Source organism: Homo sapiens, chromosome 4, assembly GCF_000001405.40.
Source record: "Homo sapiens chromosome 4, GRCh38.p14 Primary Assembly".
Taxonomy (NCBI): Eukaryota; Metazoa; Chordata; class Mammalia; order Primates; family Hominidae; genus Homo; species Homo sapiens.
In genome coordinates, this window is record NC_000004.12 from 37,387,907 (window position 1) to 37,414,968 (window position 27,062).

The window sequence follows — 27,062 nt, forward strand, 5'->3', positions numbered from 1 at the left end:
CAGGTGATCCACCTGCCTTGGCCTTGAAATATTTATTCTTATAACAACTATTTATTAAATGATTTGTGCCAGGTTCAAATCATACCTCTGGTACTTATGAGCTGAATGACCTTGGGCAACTTGCTGAACCAATCTGTGCTTTAGTTTCCTCATCTGTAAAATGGGAGCAATAATAGTATCTGATTGATATTATTAATAATTGTACCATATGGGCTTGCGATGAGGATTCACTTAGTTAATAGATGTAAAGTGCTTGCTACATAGTAAGGAGTCAGCATAGTGTTTTGTTTTGTTTTTTTAAGACAGAGTCTCTGTTGCCCAGACTGGAGTGCAATAGTGCAACCTCAGGTCCCTGCAACCTCCGCCTCCCAGGTTCAAGCTACCCTCCTGCCTCAGCCTCCCAAGTAGCCAGGACTACAGGCATAAGCCACCATGCCTGGCTAATTTTTGTACTTTTAGTAGAGATGGGGTTTCACCATGTTGGCCAGGCTGGTCTCAAACTCCTGACCTCAGATGATCTGCCCACCTCAGCATCCCAAAGTGCTGGGATTACAGGCGTGAGCCACCACGCCTAGCCGACAGCTGTAGTTTTTAAGTTGCTCTGCTGGTTTGAATTTTGGATACTGACTTCTTTAAGTGAGTTTTACTTCTATTGTGGAAAATATATATTTTTATATTGTGGGAAATATATATTTCTATTGTGGAAAATATATATTTATGTTATATATCATATATAAATATATATATCATATATATCATATATAAATATATATCGTATATATCATATATAAATATATGATATATAAATATATATATCATATATATATCATAAAATTTGCCATTTTTAACCATAGTACAAGTCAGTGGCATTAATTACATTCACAATGTTGCATAACCATCACCACAAAAACAGTTGTTCAAAAACGTTTCCATTACCCCAGACACTCTGTACATGTTAAGCAATAACTCTCCCACGTGCCCCTCCTCCAGCTCCTGATATGGGTTACTGACTTTTTAACCTCTATGATGGTGTCTACGCCTAGTTCCAGAAACATGGAGAGTTGATAAATAAAAAGGAATTTAACATAATGCCTGCTAATACTAAAAGGTGGTGAAAAAAATAAAACCATGAGAAGGGATGGAGGCTGGGGCTGCAATGACAGATGATCAAGAAACACCCCTCTGAGAAGACATTTGCCCAAAGGGAGGAATGAAGCAAAGGAGTTAGCAATGCAAAAGCCCTGCCATGTGCTATTCATGCTGGGAACCCTTTGAATAAAACCAAAGCTCATTCCTTGGCCCCAGGGGCCTCTCGTCAGAGCCCCTGCCTCAGGCCACTCTGTTTCTCCCCACAGTGCTGATAATTCTCCTTTCCTTTGAATGTACCCACTTTGAAGCCTGGATTCATGGGGAAAAAGAAAATCCAATCTTCTCCTCTTTTGTACAGGTTTAATGTGTATTAATATTTTTAAAAATCAGTGTATCAATATTACAAACTTTCAATATTTTACAGTTTATCATAGCGAGAAGCAAGAGCCCAACACCTTTGGACTTAAATTCTGCCTCTGCCTCTTTGTCACTTTTCGAATCCATCCTTCCCCTCTGCTGGCTCTACAGTGACAATGGCTGCAGTTGACTGAGAGCTTTTCATGTTAGTCGTTCTGGCGCTCAGTTTCCTCAGCTGGAAGAGAAATCTAATGCCTGCCTCACGGGTGGTAGTGGCGGTGGTGAAGGGGTCAGAGTGAATACCCAACGCAGATGGAGTCTCACCCTTCATCAGCATCAGCTGCTGTGAATATAACTTACATTTTTTCTAACAGCTATGCTCCTTTTCTTATAAAATAACTTTGGATGTAAAATTAATATCAAATCATACGCATTTTTTTTTTTACACAATGGAGTCTTGCCCTGTCACCCAGGCTGGAGTGCAGTGGCACAGTCTCGGCTCACTGCAACCTCTACCTCCCGGGTTCAAGAGATTCTCCTGCTTCAGCCTCGCGAGTAGCTGGGATTACAGTCCCCACCACCATGCCTGGCTAATTTTTGTATTTCTGGTAGAGATGGGGTTTCACCATGTTGGCCATCGTTGGCCAGGCTGGTCTCAAACTCTTGACCTCAGGTGATCCGCCCGCCTCAGCCTCCCAAGGTGCTGGGATTACAGGCGTCAGCCACCACACCCAGCCAAATCATAAGCATTTTGTTTTAGTTTTGCTCTGTAGAGTTCAGTCTGAAGTTGCACTTTCATTCTTTAAATGCAACAGTTCCATCTAGTGGCCAAATTGGCTAGGGCAGTGTTTTTATACTGAAATTTAAGTATATGTACATATACTTTAAGTATATGTACATACTTTAAGTATATGTACATATACATATGAATAAAATGCAGTAGAAAATATCAGAGTGCATATAAAATGTTTTATGAAATTTGACGGCTACATTTCATAAAATGATTTTACTGAAATATTAAACTATATTCACGTGTGTGCTTGGGCATAATCTGAAATTTTTTTTTTTGACAGTGAGTTATTTTTAAAATATTCAGAAAGTCACTGGTCTAAGAAATTTGGTTTATAGTAAATCAGGGATGAATACTGGAATTACCTGGGGAGCTTTGAAAATACGATTGCTTTGTCCCACCTCCAGAGGTTCTGATTTATTTGGTCTCTAGTGTCACCTGGGCATCATGATGTTTAAAACCTACTCAGGCGATTATCTGTGCAGCTGAGGTTGAGACTTACTGCCTTAAATCCATCAAAAATTAGAGCCAGGAAAGACCTTTGAGATGATCGACTCTCTTAGTTTTGTGCATGAGAGAACTGAGATCCAGAGAGTTTAAATGACTTGCCAAAAGTCATACTGTAATTAGCAGAGAAGCTTCATGAAGGACCTTGACAGATATTTTGGAGCCTGGAAGACGTTCGGTAAATATTTTATTTCATTTTTGGAAGACTTTTAGAAAGGGAAAGGGAGACAAAATGGAGAATATCTAATGTCTGTCTAGTCTGTTTACCAAATCAAGTTATAATTTGCTTTTATATTTCAATAAAGTTGCAGAATTTATCTGTTAAGTGTTCATTTAGAGTTCATTAAAATTAGATTCTGTGTCTCAACACAATCTACCTCACTGATTTTTTTGTTTTTCACCAACATCCAGTTTGGGTGCATTTACCACCTACATCTCAGAGTACAGTTCGATTATTTTACCTGTTTATTTTCCACTCAGAAAATGTGTTTGTGGGTTGGTGATTCCTTGTCTCTTGCTAATAACTAGGAAATCACTTGCGGCTGTTCATCAAAAACTCCACAGCTTGTAAAGGATGATGAATTAAATGACATATCATACTCAAGAACTCTATTACCTGCTGAGAAAGAAAACACATATAGATTTTTAGGATAGAAAGGACATGAACAGATCAGCCAGAATATAATCATATGTGTTACATGTAGACGTGCCTGCAGGCAGCTAGCTGGTCAGATAATGCTCATGCATGAACTGGAGGAAGGAGTGGGTGTATTTTGGTCAGCGGAAGCTTCCAAAAGATGCTTTTTGAGTGAGGAGAAAGGGAGGGATTTAGAGATAAGTAAAGGCTTGAAGGTATAAGGTTAATAATTGTCTTGTTTAAATTAGAATAAAAACCTTTTGTCATGGAAAATGAGAATCTTTGAGAAGATATGCTGGTATGTGGGGAAAGAGAGAAATATTTGGTCAAGATGTATGCATGGGTGAAATGGGTATGTGGGTTTCTCTTACTAGGAGTTTTTAGTGATACAATGTCAGAGTCCCAAAAGACCTTCCAGGTAAAGCCATCCTCATCGTCATCCAGATGAGGAAGCTGAGACATGGAGACCTCGCTGGGTGACCCCATCGGCCCCCACAAGTCCTGTGCCCTCCTGCCCCGCTGTCTTCCCCCAGCTATAAAAGGCTGTTACCAAATTTAAGAGATAATGAAGAATCACTATATTCTGCACATGTCTTCATCAGCTTAAGTATGTTCGTTTAATAAATTAAAACACGGGCTGGGCACGGTGGCTCATGCCTGTCATCCCAGCACTTTGGGAGGCGGAGGGTCGATTACTTGAGATCAGGAGTTTGAGACCAGCCTGGCCAACATGGTGAAACCCTGTCTCTACTAAAAATACAAAAAAATTAGCTGGGCGTGGTGGAGCACCTGTAATCCCAGCTACTTGGGAGGCTGAGGTGGGAGAATTGCTGGAACCTGGGAGGCAGAGGTTGCAGTAAGCCGAGATCGCACCACTGCACTCCAGCCTGGGCAACAGAATGAGACCCTATCTCAAAAAAACATAATTAATTAAAACATGAATAAAGGTAAAAGCAAACTCTTAAATCCGTACACCTGAGAGTGTAGTACAGAGGCTTGAGCCTGATACGCTCCCATCAAAACTGAAGACTAGAACGTGGATGATAAAACATGATCATTGAATAGCTTAAAGCAGACCATTTAGATCCGGGTTTCCCAGCCTCAGCTATACTGACACCTTAGGCCAGATAATTCTCTGCGGCGGGGGCTGCTGTGCACATTGTAGGATATTTAGCAGCATCTCATGGTGTCTACCCACTAGATGCCAATACTAACCCCTCTGCCCCCACCCCAGATTGTGACAGCCCAAAATGTCTCCTGGGGAGCAAAATTCTCCTCCAACCTCTATTGAGAATCACTGGTGTAGATGATGTAAGAATGTTTTGGAGTACAGTTAGCGAAACTAGGATCAAATGAGTGCGAGTGGGCAGGGAGTCACCAGCAGTGGACCTCACTGAACTGTGTTACTCATTTTGCTAGCTTGAGCTTGGCCCTTGCTAATTGCTCCTACAGAGCTCTGCACACTGCAGGGCACTCAATAAATGCCTCTGAGTGAAGACTGACTCAGCAGTTGGCAATTTATTCACCTTAACGTTGTCTCCACCAGTCCCAGTTTTCTGACCCTTCTAGAGTCATCTTAAAACTAGAGGAGCTGATCTCTCTTTTGGAGAATTTCCAAGGACCATGGCAGTCTCTCATTCACCCTAGGATGTCTGTGAATGTTGTGGACGCTTCAGAAATTCTCTTGACCCAAATCTCGGTCTGACATAAAATCATTTCCAGCCACACTCAAGTGAACAGCGCCTGGGAGCAGGCAGTCATTTGGTTCCCTTCTCTGAATGCATTGGCTCTGATCCACGGCGCCTCAGGAAGTGAAAGGGAGCAGGCAGTGAGGCCAAGCCATGAATGTTGGGCCCTTTTCTTAGAAAACAAAGGGTTCACTTTAGGCTAGGAGGAAACATCCGGGGGTTGGGGGGAGACTCTGACCTTGATCAGAATCAAATAAAAGATGGGATTCAGAGAAAACTGTCTTTCATGCTATGAATAATCATCATTTTGTTGGGCCTTTTATATATTTTCTCTGTCAGAAATTTTACAACAGAAATGATTGACCCTTAAGTTTTTGGAAGGGGTTCTCAAGAAATTTTAGTAGTTTTAATTTTCTTAATCAAGACCTTTTGTTATTTCCTAGGCTATGTGTTGTCATGAGAAGAAATGTCAAAACATGTGATAAAGAGTGGAGAAAATCCATAATTACTCAATATAAGTACAACTGGAAAGTTTCCAAAGAAGATGGTCCAGACATACTAGGAAATGCAAAATGGATGCAACTACTACCACAGACTCCTTAACGGGCCATTGCGTCTCTTAGTAGGGACCACTATTTTAATCTTTCTTTCCAAATACATTGAAAAGCTGAATTCTCTGCAGCAGCGAGCACTCTGTTGGCTTGAATTTGGGGTTACTGGCTTCCTAACTTCCCTTCTGCTATATATATTCTTCACAGCTCCTGATGTAACACGGACTTCTGCAGATTTCCTGTTAACTTAACATCCCTCTCTCCTCTCAGAACTTTCTGCTTCTTAAGGCTCAGCTCCATTGGGCCACTTGAATTGGTCTGATTCCTTTACTCCCTAGGCTGGGAGTACAAGGCTATCTTTGGAAGGGTAATTCTTGACTTTGGCATAGAGTTGTGAAAAGAACGGTTCCCCAATGGCAAAGATGGACCTGCAAACATGAGTGTTGTTTCTTTCAGACAGCCTCTAAGAAAGATGGAAAATTAATTGGGGAAGAGAAACCTGCAGTGGGAATGTGGAAATCTTTGTGGCTCTCATCTGCCTAATATTTTCCATCCCTTAAGATAACCACACTGAGCACTTAAGTAAATGTATAATCTCACCTCATTGTTATCTATCTAGCATCTGTTTAGATAACCACACTGAGCACTTAAGTAAATGTATAATCTCACCTCATTGTTATCTGTCTAGCATCTGTTTTCATCGTAAGATTCTTCTTTGCCATATTTTCTTTATATATTCATCTTTGTTGTTTTCACGTGATTAGTCTAGAAGTCTCCATAGAGTGAGACCAAGGTTTTGCAAGGGAGATAATGAAATTAGTTCATGCCAGGATGGCTCAGAGCAGATGCTAGACATAAATAACAGTTATTGATTAATACAAACTGAAAAATCAATTATATTGCTTTGTATAGTATCTAGCACAGTAAATGACAGTGATCCCCAGAAATAGGCATTTAAGTACTTACTGATAAGACTCAAAAATCATGATAATAAAGTGAGAGGAGTAGATTGCCCACTCCAACAGTTAATTAAAAGAAGGGCTATGTATAAGCCATGGCACTAGTGTTATATGTGCTCTGCAGCATCACTAATTTATTTTTTATTTATCTTACCTGAAAGCTAGTCTAACCCTAGAGGAACAGGAAACTTACTAACTAGTGTTTGCAGTAGAGACGTATCCACGTATATAGGAAATTTGTTTCTCCCTGACTGTCTCATTTACTCAGAATATAATACAAATTGGCCTATTTTCCTCTATAGTGAACCTTTATGGTTTTTTTTTTTTTTTTTTTTTTTTTTTTTGAGGCAGAGCCTCCCTCCACTGCCCAGGCTGGAGTGTGCAGTGGTGCAATCTTGGCTCACTGCAACCTCTGCCTCCTGGGTTCCAGTGATTCCTCTGCCTCAGCCTCCCGAGTAGCTGGGATTACAGGTGCACACCACCATGCCCAGCTAATTTTTTTTTTTCTAGTAGAGATGGGGTTTCACCATGTTGGCCAGACTGGTCTCAAACTCCTGACCTCAAGTGATCCACCCGCCCCCCAATCCTGGGCTTACAAGCGTGAGCCAGTGTGCCTGGCCCCTTTATGTTAATTCTTAACTGAGACCTCACCCTCCTCCTAGCCCTCAGTTGACAGACAGATAGTGCCCTGACATGTGGAGGGCCACACAGCCTTCCAAAGTGTATGATAAATCAGAACAATGGTGACACATGCTAAACTTCTTAAGGGCTAAGTCTTCTTAAATTTGTACAACCAGCATACTGAAGGGGCTGAGCTCAATTGAGGACACATAGGAGAAGGAACAGAGAACTTGGGGTTTGTTTTCCTTTTTGCATCGCTGCCTATAAATGTGCTTTGCTGAATTCCTTCCCACTGGGGAAGCAATACATCTCAGACAGGTGCTATCAAGACTCACTTTCAAGTAGTAAGTCCAAGCCAGTCCAAATCAAAATGTCAGTCCCACACCCAGTTTAAAGGGTCTGCCTCTCCCAGAGGTCGCAGTGAGCCGAGATCATGCCATTGCACTCCAGCCTGGGCAACAAGAGCGAAACTCTGTCTCAAAAAAAAAAAAAAAAAAAAAAAAAGAGTCTGCCTCTCCTTGGTTCAATTTCTCAGATCCATTATGGGGAAGGGGCCTTGTCAATTCTCAGATCAGCCCTCTTTGTTCTTCCTTCATCCCACTCCCAGCCTTCTGGACCTCAAAGTACTATTTCTCCGTTTTTCAGGTCAATATAAGGGAAGGGGAAATAGAAGACAAGGAGCAAAAACTCCAGCCTGTTGCCCAGGCTGGAGTGCAATGGCATGATCTCGGCTCACTGCGACCTCTGGGAGAGGCAGACCCTTTAAACTGGGTGTGGGACTGACATTTTGATTTGGACTGGCTTGGACTTACTACTTGAAAGTGAATCTTGATAGCACCTGTCTGAGATGTATTGCTTCCCCAGTGGGAAGGAATTCAGCAATGCACATTTATAGGCAGCGATGCAAAAAACAAAACAAACTCCAAGTTCTCTGTTCCTTCTCCTATGTGTCCTCAATTGAGCTCAGCCCCTTCAGTATGCTGGTTGTACAAATTTAAGCCAACCCTGCCTGCCGTCTTGCATGCCATCATGACTGGTGCACAAATACTGGGAGCTCTTTCATGGAGCTCATTTGTGAGGAGGCTTTTAGTGGAACTCTCCTTCCTGACACAAATGATATTATCCGATTGTCTTCTTAGGGCTACCACCCCAGTTCCACTCCTACCCCAGCAATCCACCTTATTTCTTCTTACTGGTGGAGTCCTCGCCCTGGCATGTGGCCCTGTTGGATGAAGTCCCTTTAAGATGGTTGGAGCCTGACTCTGTCATGCCTTCTAATTCAGGAAACTCACACCTCCTTACCCCTGACCATGCCCATCTCTGGAAGCACAGGCTACCTTATCCTGACTTCATGGGCAGCTCTCCATAGTTGGTTGCCGTCACTATTCTTTACAAGGGAAGCAGGAACCAGTCTCCATATTTTCAAATCCTCCAAAGCTCCTGGAGCCACATCTCAGGTTCTCTCAAGAAATCTCTAAGTGTGTTCCACCTGATGTGTTCACTGGAGAGGATTCTATAAGCTTCTTCAGCTCAACAGGTCTCAGTCAGGGAGTCAAATGTGATCTGCCCAGTCTCTACAGATGGAACTTCCCTCCCTTGATGAGAGAAGTGGAACTCAATCTGAGGAAAGTAAAAAGCAAAGCGAGGCTGGGCACGGTGGCTCACCCCTGTAATCCCAGCACTTTGGAAGGCCGAGGCGGGTGGATCAACTGAGGTCAGGAGTTCGAGACCAGCCTAGCCAACATGGTGAAACCCCATCTCTACTAAAAATACAAAAATTAGCCGGGTGTGGTGGTGGATGCCTGTAATCCCAGCTACTCGGGAGGCTGAAGTGGGAGAATTGCTTGAACCCAGGAGGCGGAGGTTGCAGTGAGCCAAGATCGTGCCATAGCACTCCAGCCTGGGTGACAAGAGTGAAACTCTGTTGCAAAAAAAAAAAGCGAAGCAACTCCTCTGGTTTCCTGGAATGAATCCCTCTCCAGTCTCCAGTCTTCAGTGAGATAGCCTGGGAGTTGGTGATAGGGATGAGCATCTCAGGAATAGGGTGGCCACTTTTTAGTCAGCCCAGCAGGTGTGTCTAGGAGCTTCTCATTACAGTGTTGCAATAGCCTATTGCCCTTCCTTCAGGTTTTAATGAAAATCCTGAGGTTTAGGGAAAGTCCTTGTGAGGGTTAGTTTTATGTGTCAAATTCACCGGGCCAGAGTACCCAGGTATTTGGTCAAATACCAGTCTGTATTTTTCTGTGAAAGTACTTTTTTAGATGAGATTAACATTTTAATCAGTAGACTTTGAGTAAAGCAGATTACCCTCCATCATGTGGATGGGCCTCATCCAATCAGTTGAAGAGGGCTTGAGAGATAAAGACTGAGGTCCCTCAGGAAGAAGGAATTCTGCCTGCATATTACCTTCAGGCTTGAGCTGCAACCCCAGCTCTCACCTTGGTTCTCCAGCCGCCAGCCTGCCCTGCAGAGTCGGACTTGCCAGCCCCCATAAAGTAGCTCGTTCTGGAGTGAAGGTGACTTCAGAGCCCTTATTACCAATTCCCCAGCGTTCTCAGGTTCATTGTAAGTACAGATCACTTTCATTAGACATTGTTGAAGGAAATTGCTTGACGAAGGAAATTTCTCGCCAGTACCCCTTGCCAAATGTTTGTCCCTAGCAACTTGTTACCCTGGGAACAGCCTCTCTCTCTCTCTCTCTCTCTCTTTCTCCCTCCCTCCTCTACTGCATCTTTCTGTTATTCTCTCTGTCCACTGCCTCTGGGTTCTGCATTGGCCATGCTATGGCTGTAGAAGGGTCTCATTGTGAGCACTCATTTGGTGGAAGCCTATCTTCCAAATCAACTCTAAATTGAAAACAGATCTGTCATTGTCCAGAAACATGCATTGAAGCAGCACCATTTAACTCCGCAACTGAGTGAGTTGCACAGTTTCATCACCACTACTTTGAATTAAAATAGATAACATTTACCAAATACTTACCATGGGCAGGCATTGTTCAAAGCACTCTATTCAAACATCAGTTAATCCTCACCAGATTCTTTGGAGGCTGGTACTTCAGTTAAGGCCATTTTACTAAGGCCCAAGGCCTAGAGGGGTTAAATAACTTATCCAGGGTCATAAACAAAATGTGGCACATATACACCATGGAATACTATGCAGCCATAAAAAAGAATGAGTTCATGTCCTTTTCACGGACATGGATGAAGCTGGAAACCATCATCCTCAGCAAAACAACACAGGAATAGAAAACCAAACACTGCATGTTCTCAGTCATAAGTGGGAGCTAAACAATGAGAGCACATGGACACAGGGAGGGGAACGTCACACACTGGGGCCTGTCGGAGGAGTGGGGAGAAAGGGGAGGGAGAGCATTAAGACAAATACCTAATGCATGCAGAGTTTAAAACCTACATGCCGGGTTCATAGGTGCAGCAAACCATGTCACCCAACCAATATGGCAGGGACAGGTTTCAAATCCCAGAAGTCTGCATTCAAAGCCTATGGTCTTTGCCACAACCTTTGGCCCCTAAAAAGGACATCCTGCTTTAGGGTCAGCCTTATCTTTATAAACAGACTCTTATGTGCTTTGCAAGTATTCGTGACTAAACAGGGTTATATTTTTTTAACTCACTATATATAATCATATCTATGCCAAAAAGAATTTAACAGAAACTTATATTAAAAGAAACAGTAAGTTTTTAGTTTTGCCTTTGCTTTTTTTTTCCACATTAAAAGAGACAAAAATGAATGCTGGCTAAGAAATAAGGAGCTAGGGAGAAACAACTATATCAGAAATGCCTTCAAGGGAAAACGCCAGATGTGAACAGAAGACAACATGGGATTTCTTGGCTGCCATGACAAAAAGTGGAACATAGTAAATTTCACATTTTTCATCATATGATAAAAACGAAGCATGACAGTTCATCAAGAAAGGTACACATTTTATAATACTGAATTTTGAAAGCAACATATTTAATGTTCTTTTTAAATGGCGGCTTGTGTCTTTAGTTGCACATTTAGAGACGTTGCAGATGAGGTCCACATATGAAGGTCAATGCTTATGGCTTTGTAATTTTCCCACCCAAGTCTCTCAAGAAATATCTAGATAAGGAGTTTGTCACACCAGCAGAGCCAATCACATTTTCATTTCATGGGTGGCTGAGGCAGTGGACCTCACTTTTTAAGCCTCTCTGGCCATCTTCTGGCTCCAAGAATATAGTAGGAACAGGCCTGGATTCAGCTTAACCCCAGTTTATATTATTTTTAATTCCAGACACCTTGGTTAAGATAAGTATTTTTAAAAGAATTTTTTGGCTTCTTTCCAATGCCCTTATTTTATTAGCTACATATCTTAAAGTTACTACTTTTGAATTAAAATGATGAAGGATTTCTCTTTGAGATCACTCAGTTGAAAAATCCCTCATTTAACCTGGTGGCCCAATATTTCCCTTATTCCTAGTTTTAAAATAGCTCTCTTTCCCACTTAAGACCTCTTTCTCCAATTCTGCCTATTGTTGATGTGAAGTGACCTCTGACTCAATCTTTTGGGGTGGTAACATGGTTTTCTTTTTTATCCTCTTTCTCCAGAACAAACTTAATTTCTGTAAGTTTCTTTAAGGCCTAAACTCTATGCTTTTACTTGGGATTGTAATTTTATGCTGCTTCTTCAGGTACAGTCCCATGCCAGTGGCATCTATATCACCTAGGAATTGCTTAGAAATGCAGATTGCCTGTCCTCATTCCAGAACTAAAGAATCAAAAATTCTAGGGAGAGGCCCGGTGTTTTAACAAGCTCACCAGATGCATGATTCTGATGCATGCTCAGGTTCGAGTATCACTAGACCAGGTTTTCCTTTCTGAAACTTTTAGACATTTCCTTTCTGTCTCACATATTTTCTAAATCAGTAAGTAGCAGGTAACTGGAGTTAAGATTGTAGACTCTGTATCCCCAACCATCTCAAAACTGGAAGCTTCAGCAACTTTGGAAATCAACAGAATCTAAACAGATACATATGGGTAAATTGCCCCTTTTAAAATCCCTTACCATTAGTTTGCCTTCCCACCCATTCTAATATTCCTAGTATTAGTCTCCAAGTGTGTTGCTATCTGTCCTATGTATCTTAAGTAATGAAGAAGCTCAGAGCTAACAGGTCAATTTCCCCAGCAATCCTTCCAGTGGGAAAATAAAGAGAAATTACCTTTGTGAGTTGTGTTTTAGGGCATCTGGCTCATTCAGCATGGATTTTTCCATTTGCCTGTGGCTGTTAACCAGCCTGCAGTGAAGAGGAATTGCCCATCTGTAGTCAGAAAATTGGAGTGGTGACATATATTTCCTCCCTTGAGTGACACAGAGAGTTCCCTCTCATCATCAATTCACTTAGAAGGACCATTTTCAATAGAAAAATGTACCTGATTCTTGCCCATGTTCAGAAAGCCAGCTAAGAATTCTCAAACATTTCATTTCAGTTCAGCTTTGTGACTAATTTCCCTATATGCCTGCTCTTGATGAGTAACTGACAAATAGCATTTTATGGAAGCTATGATGGAGTATTTTGCTTTTACTGTGACCATTAATGCATTACAAACAAAATGGAAAGTGTGTGGGTTTCATGTCAATCAATTTGCATTTCTTGAAATGAGAATTGGAAAAGCCAGATGGTCTTTCCTTAAAGAACAATAGTTATATTGTTTTGCTGTGGTTCTTACGTTATGCTTAAACGTCAACTGAAACAGACTTTACTTGATATCTTAATCCATGTGTGTTACAATAAAGGAATACCTTTCAACGCAAGACATGGCAGGGCCAAACAAACCATATCCAAACCATAGCACTTGGAAAGCAGGATTATTAAGCATTCTTCAGTGACCTGTGCTATTCATTGGAGTTGTATAGTCATTTTGTACAAGGCACAAACAGAACAAGTGATCATAACACTTGTGTTTAAAAAGCAGATATAGGTAATGTAAGTGTCAGTAAACTACTGATTAAATTAAGGGCCATGTCTCCTAGAACAGCTTGTAATGTCAATTTTGTATAGCCATTTTTCACTTATCCAGTCCCTAAACTTATCTGTGCTCTCTTTCCTCCTTGGCCAGAGATCTTATTTCCCTCTTATTGAGAAACAGAGGACAGCCTCCATGAGCCCCCTGGGTGTGCCTACCCATCTCCACCTGAGAAGATCTCCTACCTCCATTTGGCCCAGTTTGCCAACTGGCTTAACAAGAAAAACTGCTCTCCAGAGATACCACCTTGATCTTCACTGCCCCAGGATCTTCTCTGACAGTTAACTCTTTGTCTCTTGTACTTTTGATTCCTCCCTGTCCCTGTGTGGTTTACAGACTCACACATTGTCTTCCATCTGTGACTCTATTCCATTGCTTTGGGTACTTCCCAGGTTCAGAACCTCATCTTCTCTCACCTGGGCTCCTCATTGATCCCTCCAGCTGCAGCTGCTTTCTTCCCAGAATTTTATGCCAGAATTATTTCATTAAAATACACGTGTGATTATGTTAGTCCCCTACCCAAAAACTCAGAGATCTCCAAAAAGAATTAGAAAAAAAATTTAATATAAGCCTGAAGGTCTTCTACTATCCACCTTGAGGCCTTCTACTTTCTTTTCTAGAACAAGTATCTTCTGCACACCTTTCTGGTTCTTTGAACATCCATGCCCATCTTCAGACCTCTGAACTTCTGCCCTTGTTATTTTCCCATCTGCAGTGTCTTTTCTCCTCTTGTTGAAATCGTCCTCAGTGAAAAACCTTCCTCTGTGTTCCAGTGCAGATCAATGATACCCACTTCCGTGTACCTGCTATGGTTTGAGTGGACCCTCCCAAATTCATGCTGAAATTCAATTGTCATTGTGATGATATTAAGAGCTGGGACTTTTAAGAGGTGATTAATTCATTAATCATAAATTGATTAACACCATTACCTTAGGAGTGAATTCGTTATTTCAGGAGTAGATTCCCAATAAAAAGGATGACTTCAGCCTCAGTTTCTCTCTCTGTTCTGTATGCTAACTTACCCTTATGCCATGTTATGACACAGCAAGAAGGGCCACACCAGATGCTGAGGAGATGTTGCTGTCACGTCCTTGGACTTCTCAGCCTCCAGAACTGTGAGAAATAAATTTATTTTCTTTATAAATTTCTCAGTCTCAGATATTCTTTTATAGCAGCACAAAACCCACTAGAATAGCACCTATTTTATGCTTTCATTATAGCACTGCCTTCCATTGTAGTTAGTTCTATGTGTCTGAGATCAGGAATAGCGTCTTTTTCCTTTTCTTTTTATCTTTCCCAGCAACAAACATGGTGATTTATGAAAATTAGATGTTGAAGCACTGAATTACATTGTGTACTGTTAGCCAAATGGATAATCACAGAGGTATTATAGGGAAGAAGACAATGTGGATTCATTTTCATCAGACATTGTCTTCTGTAATATTATTTAAATGCAATGTACTTCCCCCATATCTAGAATTTTTATCTATTGGTGAATTGAATTATTATTTTGAAGTTCTCATATGAAGAAGGCATTTATGTGTGTAAAGTAGAAAGATCAGGCTGGGATTAGAAATGCTAATACGTTCTAGCCCTGGCTGTTCACAAACCCAGCTGCATGGGTTCTGTAATGTCATTTAAAACTTTGGGAAGACTCAATTTCCTCATCTCTGAAATGAGGAAACTACATTCTCCCTAAACTTTCTACCAAGTCTAAGATTTTGTTATTTTAACCATCACTATTGTCTTTTGTCAGCTTTTGTTATATAAAATGTACTAGTTTTTATGTTTGATGCGTTGTTTTTCATAGCATAGACAACTGTACTTTGAATGCTTCAAGGATTTCCTGATTACTAAGAGGTCCCAACCCTAATAATTAATTCCCTGAGAGAGAGAGAGAGTTAGGCAGCTCACTTCTTCCTAATCTTTTTGTGGAGTCACCAAGAACAAAGTCTACTAGAAGAAAAGGTGTGGAGAAGATTTCTAAGCCCACAGCATGCCACTCTCAGGAACTACCCTCTCTTTTCCAACAAATATTTATTGTGCCCTTATTATGTACCAGGCACTGTTCTAGGCATGAGAATGCAGTGATGAGCGAGACAGACAAGGACCCTTCATTCTGGTAGTTTATAGTGGAAAAGAAAAGAAACATGATAAACAAGAAAACAAATTTTAAAAAGGTCATTTTTACCTAGTGATATGGATCAAGGGAACAATAAGAGAGAGTGTTGTAATAGGTTTTTGAATACCTAGTTTAGCTCAGGTGAACATGAAGGGTCCAGAATAATTAAAGCAGCCACATGTGCAAAGATCTAGGGGCCCCAGGGAAACTACCCAACTATAAGAACATTCGTGCTCCTAGTACAGGGGGAAACAAACTCCTAGGAGTCAGATCCAGTTTCCCCAGTGGAGACGATTTCTGAGGAGTGGGTTCCTGACAAAAAGATGAGTTTTGCCTGCATTTTTCTTTCTCTCATTCTCACTTGCATGAAGCATCATTAGACCTGATTTAAAGCTCAAATCCTCTCTAGGACAAAGCTATAATGCATAGATCATCTTTGATAGCAGAAAAAAGCGACTCTACTTGTTTCTGCATTACATACACTGCAAACATGGGGTTCACATTTGTGAAACATTTCTGTAGGCAGACTTGGCTATTTTTATAGTCTATGGCATAAAAGAGATAGGCTTCAAGTCATGTGCAGTTTGTGGGAATTGAACCACTTTTAGGTCCAATTCAGGAATGTACATTAAAATGAAAGCTCATAAGAATGATACTGATAGTAGCCCTAATTAAATTTTCACTGACAAACTTTAGTACTTCCTTTTCAAAACAATTAGCATCTTGTAGTTCATCAAGATTATAGGAGTGAGAGACCTATAGAATTAGATCCACATTCCTCAGCCAGTCCCCACTTGAGCCACTCATCCCTTAAATACCATTACATACCATTACATGCTGGCTCTTAGGGTGAGCTTCATCCCAGTCATGCTATAGAGAATAATGGACAGGATTTTGAACTTCAAAGTTATGCAAACCTGAGTTTACATCTCCATTTTGCCATATACTTGCTGTGTGACCAATTAGACTTTCTCAACCTTGGGAATAACAGTATCTAACTTACAATGTCATAGGAAGTACTCAGTAAGTGATATGATTATTGATAAAAAATGAAAGCTCTGTTGTTATTATTGCCGGGCTTCTAATTGCCTCTGAAAAGCACTCCTCCCTGTTAATAACTATGAGCATTTGCCTAGCTGTATACCCCATCTAGAAGGTCCTTTCCCACCCTCATCCCAATATGCCCAGTGAAATCCTTTTTATCCAGTGGAGGCCAGTTCAAGTTTTGCTTTCTTCTCCATCCACAGTCAACCTTCTGATTAGTTCCATCTTCTCTGAAGTCTGTGAGCCCTTACAGACAATACCATGCTTTTTGTTCTTTCACCACTGCTTGCCTGCCCCATATCCCTCTTTCTGATCCAGCCTATAACCTCAGGAAGGGCAATGTATTAGTCAGTTCTCACACAGCTATAAAGAAGTACCTGAGACTGGATAATTTATGAAGAAAAGAGGTTAACTGGCTCGTGGTTCCACAGGCTGTACAGGAAGCATGGCGACATCCGCTCAGCTTCTGGAGAGGCCTCAGGGAACTTACAATTGTGGCAGAAGGCAAAGGAGGAGCAAGACGTCTTACAAGGTGGAACAGTAGCAATAGAGAGAGGGGAAGGTGCTACACACTTATAAACAACCAGATCTGGTGAGAACTCACTCACTATCATGACAGCAGCACCAAAGGGGATGGTGTAAAACCATTCATGAGAGAGCGCCTTTCTGATCCAATCACCTCCCACCAGGCCCCATCACCAATACTGGGGATTACAACTGAACATGAGATTTGTGTAGGGACACAGATCCAAACCATATCAGGCAATAATCTTGTCTTCTATTTATCGTACCTTCCTCTTCACTGAAATGATGAATCGATGAACAAATAAATGAATATCCTCAGTGTAAAGATTTTCCTGTAGTTCAAATCAATGTCACCCACCTCTGGGAACCCATTTTATATCTTTATGACAGCATCATCTTGACTTTGTAGGTAATTGTGTCTGAGATCAGGGGCACTTGCCTGCAGGGAGACAAATTATAAGAATGAAGCAATCTTGTGGAGAGCGACTCTAAAACCATGTAAGGGAAGAGGTTTTCTTGGGAGGATTATACATTTTTGAAATGTGGGTAGCAGTCTAATAGTAGATCAATAAATCATTCTGTCTAGTAGGTTGCCATCAGCAATTTTTTAGTTGAATGTAATAGAATAGAATAGAATAGAATAGAATAGAATAGAATAGAATAGAATAGAATAGAATAGAATAGAATAGAAAACATCAGGGCGAATTGCATGTAATAAAGTTAACAATTATTTGGTGAAAGAAATTACTGAATCCACTCCCAGAATTTCTGATTCTATAGGTCTGGGGTGACAACTGCGACTTTCCATTTCTAACATGAGTTTGCTTGAACAGAGTCTTAATATAAAATGTTTTCCTTGCTGTAGGTCTCAGTCAAAAAATGTTTGAGAAAAACATTGCTCTACTTCATAGATTAAAGAGTGAGGTCTAAGGGACGCATTTTTATAATTTCACCCAGAGTGCTCTGACATAGGTTATCTTGGAACATTTTAACATCTTTGCCAGGTAGGTAGGAATATGTGATATTACAGTCATTTTAGAGAAAGGGGGACCAGGGGATTTAGATATACTTAACAGATCTTTGTTGATCAGGCAATTTGGCTTAGCATAGCCACCCAGGTAGACAGCAATTGATTTAGAACCAGAACCCAGAATTGAAACTGTTAAATTGTAATTTCTTCACTAATTAAATAAGTGGTTTCTAAACTGTTCAGGGTTTATCATAAGGGTTATGAAAAAATTCTCTGAAGATTTTTTAAAATTTATAAACAAGAAGTCACGTTAAGTCATGCCACTTTTAACTCTGAACTTGGAGGTTGTCATAGTCCCAAAATAAGCAACAGCAGCAACTGCAAAACAAAACGGTAGAAAATGATTAATAAATGCAGAGTAAGTGATATTAGAAAATCATTGTCTTGCAATCCCAAAGGAAAGAATGGATCTAGACAGCCAGTGAAACAGACCGACACATCCCAAGCATTGGCCTGTCTCAGAATTTCTAACAGCGAGTCACAGAGATCTTTTGTGCTTCATAATTGATACAGTGGGAAGGACAGCACCATCTGTCAAGAATTCTTGCCTTAAAAAAAGGATCTAGAACCAGAAATGCCATTTGACCCAGGAATCCCATTACTAGGTATACACCCAAAGGATTATAAATCATTCTACTGTACTATAAAGACAGGCACATGTATGTTTATTGCAGCATTATTTACCATAGCAAAGACTTGAAACCAACCCAAATGCCCATGAATGATAGAATGGATAAAGAAAATGTGGCACATATACACTATGGAATACTATGCAGCCATAAAAAATGAGTGTGGTGGCTCACACCTGTAATCCCAGCACTTTGGGAGGCCGAGGTGAGTGGATTACCTGAGGTCACGAGTTTGAGACCCGCCTGACCAACATGGGAAAACCCGTCTCTACTAAAAATACAAAAGTAGCCAGGTGTGGTGGCGCATACCTATAATCCCAGCTACTTGGGAGGCTGAGGCAGGAGAATTGTTTGAACCCAGGAGGCAGGGGTTGCAGTGAGCCAGGATCATGCCATTGCACTCCAGCCTGAGCAACAAGAGCAAAACTCCATCTCAAAGAAAAAAAGAAAAAATGAGTTCATGTCCTTTGTAGGGACATGGATGAGGCTGGAAGCCATCATTCTCAGCAAATTAACACAGGAACAGAAAACCAAACACCGCATGTTCTCATTCATAAGTTGGAGTTGAACAATGAGAACACATGGACACAGGGAGGGGCCTGTCAGCAGGGTGGGGGGCTAGGGGAAGGAGGGCATTAGAACAAATACCTAATGCATGCAGGACTTAAAACCTAGATGACAGGTTGATAGGTGCAGCAAACCACCATGGCACATGTATACCTATGTAACCTGCACATTCTGCACATGTATCCCAGAACTTAAAGAAAAAAATGAACCTGAACATAACTAAGGCTCTAAATCTAACTACCAACTTATAGGGAAGCTAATTGAAGAAGGCAAATGACAACAGGAGGAGTGGCACCCAGCTAAATCTACACTGTGAGATATTCAACAACATTAGTACCCAAGGAGGAGATCTTGGAGGGCTTGTTAAACAGAAATGTCTTGGGCCCTACTCCCAAAGTTTGTGATTCTGTGGGACAATATTTGCATTTCTGGCAAGTTCCCAGGAGATACTAATGCCACTGATCCAGGGGCCACACTTTGAAAACCACTGGTCGATAGGATAAACAACCTGCTTATCCAACCAATCAGTGACGTGAGAGGGAGTGGGGATATTATAGAATAAAATGCCTTCTAACAGCCTACAAACTTAAGACAATGTATAGACTTCACCTGGATCTTAATTCAAGGCAGCTGCAAAAAGAAATGTTGAAGCAACTGGGAACTAAATGTAGACAAAGTGTGGAGTTAAATTAAGAAATTATCCTTGATAGGGCAACATGGTGGAATAGGATCAGCTCCGGTCTGCAGCTCCCAGTGAGATCGACAGAGAAGGCAGGTGATTTCTGCATTTCCAACTGAGGTACCTGGTTGATCTCATTGGGACTGGTTGGACAGTGGGTGCAGCCCATGGAGGGCGAGCAGAAGCAGGATGGGGTGTCGCCTCACCCGGGAAGTGCATGGGGTCAGGGAATTTTCTCCCCTACCCAAGGGAAGCCATGAGGAACTGAGCCTGAGGAACTCCAGCACAGATACTGCACTTGTCCCATGGTCTTCACAACCTGCAAACCAGGAGATTCCCTCCATTGTCTACTCCATCAGGGCCCTGGGTTTCAAGCACAAAACTGGGCAGCCATTTGGGCAGACACTGAACTAGCTGCAGGAGTTCTTTTTTTCCATACCCCAGTGGTGCCTGGAACCCCAGCAAGACAAAACCGATAACCTCCCTGGAAAAGGGTGCTGAAGCCAGGGAGCCAAGTGGTCTGGCTCGGCAGGTCCCACCCCCACGGAGCCCAGCAAACTAAGATCCACTGGCTTGAAATTCTCGCTGCCAGCACAGCAGCAGTCTGAGATTGACCTGGGGCACTCGAGCTTGCTTGGGGGAGGGGCCTCCACCATTGCTGAGGCTTGAGTAGGTGGTTTTATGCTCACAGTGTAAACAAAGCCGCTGGAAAGTTCAAACTGGGTGGAGCCCACTGCAGCTCAGCAAGGCTGCTATGGCCAGACTGCCAGATTTTTCTTCTCTGGGCAGGGCATCTCTGAAAAAAAGGCAGCAGACCCAGTCAGGGACTTGCAGATAAAACCCCCATCTCAATGGGACAGAGCATGAGGGGAAAGGCCTGGCTGTGGGCACAGCTTCAACAGACTTAAACGTCCCTAACTGATGGCTCTGAAGAGAGCAGCAGACCTCCCAGCACAGCGTTGGAGCTCTGCTAAGGGTCAGACTGCCTCCTCGAGTGGGTCCCTGACCCCTATGTATCCTGACTGGGAGACATCTCCCAGTAGAGGCTGACAGACACCTCCTACAGGAGAGCTCTGGCTGGCATCTGGCAGGTGCCCCTCTGGGACAAAGCTTCCAGAGGAAACAAGAGGCAGCAATCTTTGCTGTTCTGCAGCCTCCACTAGTGATACCCAGGCAAACGGGGTCAGGAGTGAACCTCCAGCAAACACCAGTATACTGGCAGCAGAGGGGGCTGACTGTCAGAAGGAAAACTAACAAACAGGAATAGCATGTCCACTCAAAGACCCCATCCAAAGGTCACCAACATCAAAGACCAAAGGTAGGTAAATCCACAAAGATGGGGAGAAACCAGGGCAGAAAGTCTGAAAATTCCAAAAACCAGAATGCCTCTTCTCCTCCAAAGGATCACAACTCCTTGCCAGCAAGGGAACAAAACTGGATGGAGAATGAGTTTGACAAGTTGACAGAAGTAGGATTCAGAAGGTGGGTAATAACAAACTCCACCAAGCTAAAGGAGCATGTTCTAACCCATCACAAGGAAGCTAAAAACCTTGAAAAAAGGTTAGAGGAATGGCTAACTAGAATAACCAGTTTAGAGAAGAACATAAATGACCTGATGGATCTGAAAAACACAGCACAAGAACTTCGTGAAGCATACACAAGTATCAATAGCTGAATCAATCAAGCAGAAGAAAGGATATCAGAGATTGAAGATCAACTTAATGAAATAAAGCGTGAAGACAAGATTATGGAAAAAAAATAAAAAGGAATGAACAAAGACTCCAAGAAATATGGGAGTATGTGGAAAGACCAAATCTACGTGTGATTGGTGTACCTGAAAGTGACGAGAAGGGAAGCAAGTTGGAAAACACTTTTCAGGATATTATCCAGGAGAACTTCCCCAAAGTAGCAAGGCAAGCCAACGTTCAAATTCAGGAAATACAGAGAACACCACTAAGATACTCCTCGAGAAGAGCAACCCCAAGACACATAATCATCAGATTCACCAAGGTTGAAATGAAGGAAAAAATGTTAAGGGCAGCCAGAGAGAAAGGTCGGGTTACCCACAAAGGGAAGCCCATCAGACTAACAGCAGATCTCTCTGCAGAAAGCCTACAAGCCAGAAAAGAGTAGGGGCCAATATTCAACATTCTTAAAGAAAAGAATTTTCAACCCAGAATTTCATATCCAGCCAAACTAAGCTTCATAAGAAAAGGAGAAATAAAATCCTTTACACACAAGCAAATGCTGAGAGATTTTGTCACCACCAGGCCTGCCTTACAAGAGCTCCTGAAGGAAGCACTAAACATGGAAAGGAACAACTGGTACCAGCCACTGCAAAAACATACCAAATTGTAAAGAACATCAACACTGTGAAGAAACTGCATCAACTAATGGGCAAAACAACCAGCTAGCTTCATAATGACGGGATCAAATTCACACATAATATTACCCTTAAAGGTAAACGAGCTAAATGCCCCAGTTAGAAGACACAGACTGGCAAATTGGATAAAGAGTCAAGACCCATCAGTGTGTTGTGTTCAGGAGACCCATCTCACATGCAAAGACACACATAGGCTCAAAATAAAGGGATGGAGGAATATTTACCAAGCAAATGGAAAGCAAAAAAAAGGCAGGAGTTGCAATCCTAATCTGTGATAAAACACACTTTAAACCAACAAAGAACGAAAGAGAAAAAGCCATTACATAATGGTAAAGGGATCAATGCAGCAAGGAGAGCTAACTATCCTAAATATATATGCACCCAACACAGGAGCACCAGATTCATAAAGCAAGTTCTTAGACACCTACAAAGAGACTTAGACTCCCACACAATAATAGTGGGAGATTTTGACAACCCACTGTCAGTATTAGATCAACAAGACAGAAAATTAACAAGGATATTCAGGACTTGAACTCAGCTCTGGACCAAGCGGAACTAATAGACATCTACTGAACTCTCCACCCCAAATCAACAGAATGTACATTCTTCTCAGCACGTATCACACTTATTCTAAAACTGACCAAATAATTGGAAGTAAAACACTCCTCAGCCAATGCAAAAGAACAGAAATCATAACAAACTGTCTCTCAGACCACAGTGTAATCAAATTAGAACTCAGGATTACAAAACTCACTCAAAACCACACAACTACATGGAAACTGAACAAACTGCTCCTGAATGACTACTGGGTAAATAATGAAAGAAGGCAGAAATAAAGGTGTTCTTTAAAATCAATGAGAATGAAGACACAACATACCAGAATCTCTGGGACATATTTAAAGCAGTGTGTAGAGGGAAATTTATAGCACTAAATGCCCACAAGAGAGTGTAGGAAAGATCTAAAACTGACACCCTAACATCAAAATTAAAAGAATTAGAGAAGCAACAGCAAACAAATTCAAAAGCTAGCAGAAGACAACAAATAACTAAGATCAGAGCAGAACTGAAGGAGACAGAGACATGAAAAAACTTTCAAAAAATTCCAGGAGCTGGCTTTTTGAAAAGATCAACAAAATAGACCACTAGCCAGACTAATAAAGCAGGAAAGAGAAAAGAATCAAATAGACACAATAAAAAGTGATACAGGGGATATCACCACTGATCCCACAGAAATACAAACTACTATCGGAGAATACTATAAACACCTCTATGCAAATAAACTAGAAAATCTAGAAGAAATGGATAAATTCCTGGACACATATACCCTCCCAAGTCTAAGCCAGGAAGAAGTCAAACCTCTGAATAAACCAATAACAAGTTCTGAAATTGAGGCAGTAATTAATAGCCTACCAACCAAAAAAAGTCCAGGACCAGACAGATACATAGCCAAATTCTACCAGAGATACAAAGAGGAGCTGGTACCATTCCTTCTGAAACTATTCCAAACAAAAGAAAAAGAGGGAATCCTCCCTAACTCATTTTATGAGGCCAGCATCACCCTTTTACCAAAACCTGGCAGAGACACAACAAAAAAAGAAAATTTAGGGCCAGTATCTCTGATGAACATCGATGCAAAAATCCTCAATAAAATACTGGCAAACCAAATCCAGCAGCACATCAAAAAGCTTATCCACCACAATCAAGTCAGCTTTATACCTGGGATGCAAGGCTGGTTCAACATATGTGAATCAATAAACATAATCTATCACATAAACAGAACAAATGACAAAAACCACATGATTATCTCAATAGATGCAAAAAAGGCCTTTGACAAAATTCAACACCCATTCATGCTAACAACTCTCAATAAACTAGGTATCAATGAAATGTATATCGAAATAATAAGAGCTATTTATGACAAACCCACAGCCAATATCATACTGAATGGGCAAAAACTGGAAGCATTCCCTTTGAAAATGGGCACAAGACAAGGATGCCCTCTCTCATCACTCCTATTCAACATAGTATTGGAAGTTCTGGCCAGGGCAATGAGGCAAGAGAAAGAAATAAAGGGAATTCGAATAGGAACAGAGGAAGTCAAATTGTCTCTGTTTGCAGATGGCATGATTGTATATTTAGAAAACCCCATCATCTCAGCCCAAAATCTCCTTAAACTGATAAGCAACTTCAGCAAAGTCTCAGGATATAAAATCAATGTGCAAAAATCACAAGCATTCCTATACACCAGTAACAGACAAACAGCCAAATCATGAGTGAACTCCCATTCACAATTGCTACTAAGATAATAAAATACCTAGGAATACAACTTACAAGGGATGTGAAGGACCTCTTCAAGAAGAACTACAAACCACTGCTCAAGGAAATAAGAGAGGACACAAACAAATGGAAAAACATTCCATGCTCATGAATAGGAAGAATCATTATCGTGAAAATGGCCATACTACCCAAAGTAATTTATAGATACAATGCTATCCCCATCAAGCTACCATGGACTTTCTTCACAGCATTGCAAAAAACTACTTTAAACTTCATGTGGAAACAAAAATAGCCCAAATAGCAACACAATCCTGGGCAAGAAAGAATAAAGCTGGAGGCATCATGCTACCTGACTTCAAAATATACTACAAGGCTACAGTAACCAAAACAGCATGTTACTGTTACCAAAACAGATATATAGACCAATAGAACAGAACACAGGCCTCAGAAATAACACCACACATCTACAACCATCTGATCTTTGACAATCCTGACACAAACAAGCAATGGGGAAAACATTCCCTATTTAATGAATGGTGTTGGGAAAACTGGCTAGCCATATGCAGAAAACTGAAACTGGACCCCTTCCTTACACCTTATACAAAAAATGGATCAAAGACTTAAACGTAAGACCTAGGACCATAAAAATTCTAGAAGAAAACCTGGGCAATACCATTCAGGACACAGGCATGGGCAAACACTTCATGTCTAAAACACAGAAAGCAATGGCAACAAAAGCCAAAATTGACAAATGGGATCTAATGAAACTAAAGAGCTTCTGCACAGCAAAAGAAACTATTATCAGAGTGAACAGGCAGCCTACGGAATGGGAGAAAATTTTTGCAATCTATCCATCTGACAAAGGGCTAATATCCAGAATCTACAAAGAACTTAAACAAATGTACAAGAAAAAAGCAAACAACCCCATCAAAAAGTGGCAAAGGATATGAACAGACATTTCTCAAAAGAAGACATTTATGCAGCCAACAGACATATGAAAAAATGCTCATCATCACTGGTCATTAGAGAAATGCAAATTAAAACCACAGTGAGATACCATCTCACACCAGTTAGAATGGTGATCATTAAAAAGTCAGAAAACAACAGATGCTGGAGAGGATGTGGAGAAATAGGAATGCTTTTACACTATTGGTGAGAGTGTAAATTAGTTCAATCATTGTGGAAGACAGTGTGGCGATTCCTCAAGGATCTAGAACTAGAAATACCATTTGACCCAGCAATCCCATTACTGGGTATATACCCAAAGGATTATAAATCATTCTACTATAAAGACACATGCACACATATGTTTATTGCGGTGTGGTTCACAATAGCAAAGACTTGGAATCAACCCAAATGTTCATCAATGATAGACTGGATAAAGAAAATGTGGTACATATACACCATGGAATACTATGCAGCCATAAAAAAGGATGAGTCCATGTCCTTTGCAGAGACATGGATGAAGCTGGAAACCATCATTCTCAGCAAACTATCACAAGAACAGAAAACCAAACACCGCATGTTCTCACTTATAAGTGGGAGTTGAACAATGAGAACACATGGACACAGAGAAGGGAACATCACACACCAGGGCCTGTCAGGGGGTGGGGGGCAAGGAGAGGGATAGCATTAGGAGAAATACCTAATGTAGGTGACGGGTTGATAGGTGCAGCAAACCACCATGGCATGTGTATACCTATGCAACAAAACTGCACGTTCTCCACATGTATCCTAGAACATAAAGTATAATAAAAAAAAGAAAAAAAAGAAATTATCCTTAATTCTACTGAATGTAATAGTATCGTTAGGATTACATTAAAACTTTTATTTTAAAAATTCATGATGAAGGAATTTTTGTGATCAAATGATAGGATTCTGAAATAGGATTATCAAAATGTTGATAGTTGGTAAAGCTGGTAATAGGTATCTGGGGGCTTGTTATGCTATTATCTGTACTTTTGAGCATGTATGAAAGTTTTCACAATAAGCTCTTTTTAAAAATCACTACTGCCTACACTAGACTTCTTCACCTTATAGAGAAGTACACCCTCTTCATCTAGAGATCAGCTTTAAGTGGCCTCAGCCAGCCCTGAAAAAAAAAAAAACCCAAAACCTAGAAATAAACAAAGATAAATTACCTTTATGCTCCAGAAGTCGCTGTAACAAGACTCTGCTAAAGCCATGAATCTTACCTTGTTTAATATCATTCAGACTTATTTAATGTACACTTCTATAAAAGCTGGCTTGCATAGTTTCTCATTCCAGATCTTATCTAGTAAAGGAAGACTGCTGGAAGTGGGTACAGTGACAGCAGGAAAAATCACATCTTATAGCCTGACATTTGGAGAACCAAAAAAGTATAAAAGAATTGGATCAACACATTATACAATGGTGGATTATTGATTAATTCATCAGTAATAACACTGTTAGCCTTTATAGAGCATTTATGTGTCAGTTACCCTTCCAATTTCTTTACTTATATTAATGCTGTTAATCCACAGGGAAATCCACGAATTGACATTGTTGGATTCTATATTTTACAGATAAGGGAGCACACTGGAGCACAGAGGGGTTAAGTAACTTGGCTGAGGTCACAGA

The 27,062-nt window shown here is 41.0% G+C and overlaps 1 protein-coding gene across 1 annotated transcript in view, besides 2 other annotated features; it reads left to right on the top strand.

The window, feature by feature from the left end:
• Positions 1-27,062, top strand: part of NWD2 (NACHT and WD repeat domain containing 2) — a 204,721-nt gene that overhangs the window by 143,164 nt on the left and 34,495 nt on the right. The gene's annotated exons all lie outside the window — the stretch shown is intronic.
• Positions 2,097-2,146: an enhancer, noted in NCBI's record as "active region_21413". NCBI's record gives its function as "activates an Ori minimal core promoter by ATAC-STARR-seq in GM12878 lymphoblastoid cells {active_cell/tissue: GM12878}" and the evidence as "EXISTENCE:reporter gene assay evidence [ECO:0000049][PMID:35858748]".
• Positions 5,125-5,174: a silencer, noted in NCBI's record as "silent region_15347". NCBI's record gives its function as "represses an Ori minimal core promoter by ATAC-STARR-seq in GM12878 lymphoblastoid cells {active_cell/tissue: GM12878}" and the evidence as "EXISTENCE:reporter gene assay evidence [ECO:0000049][PMID:35858748]".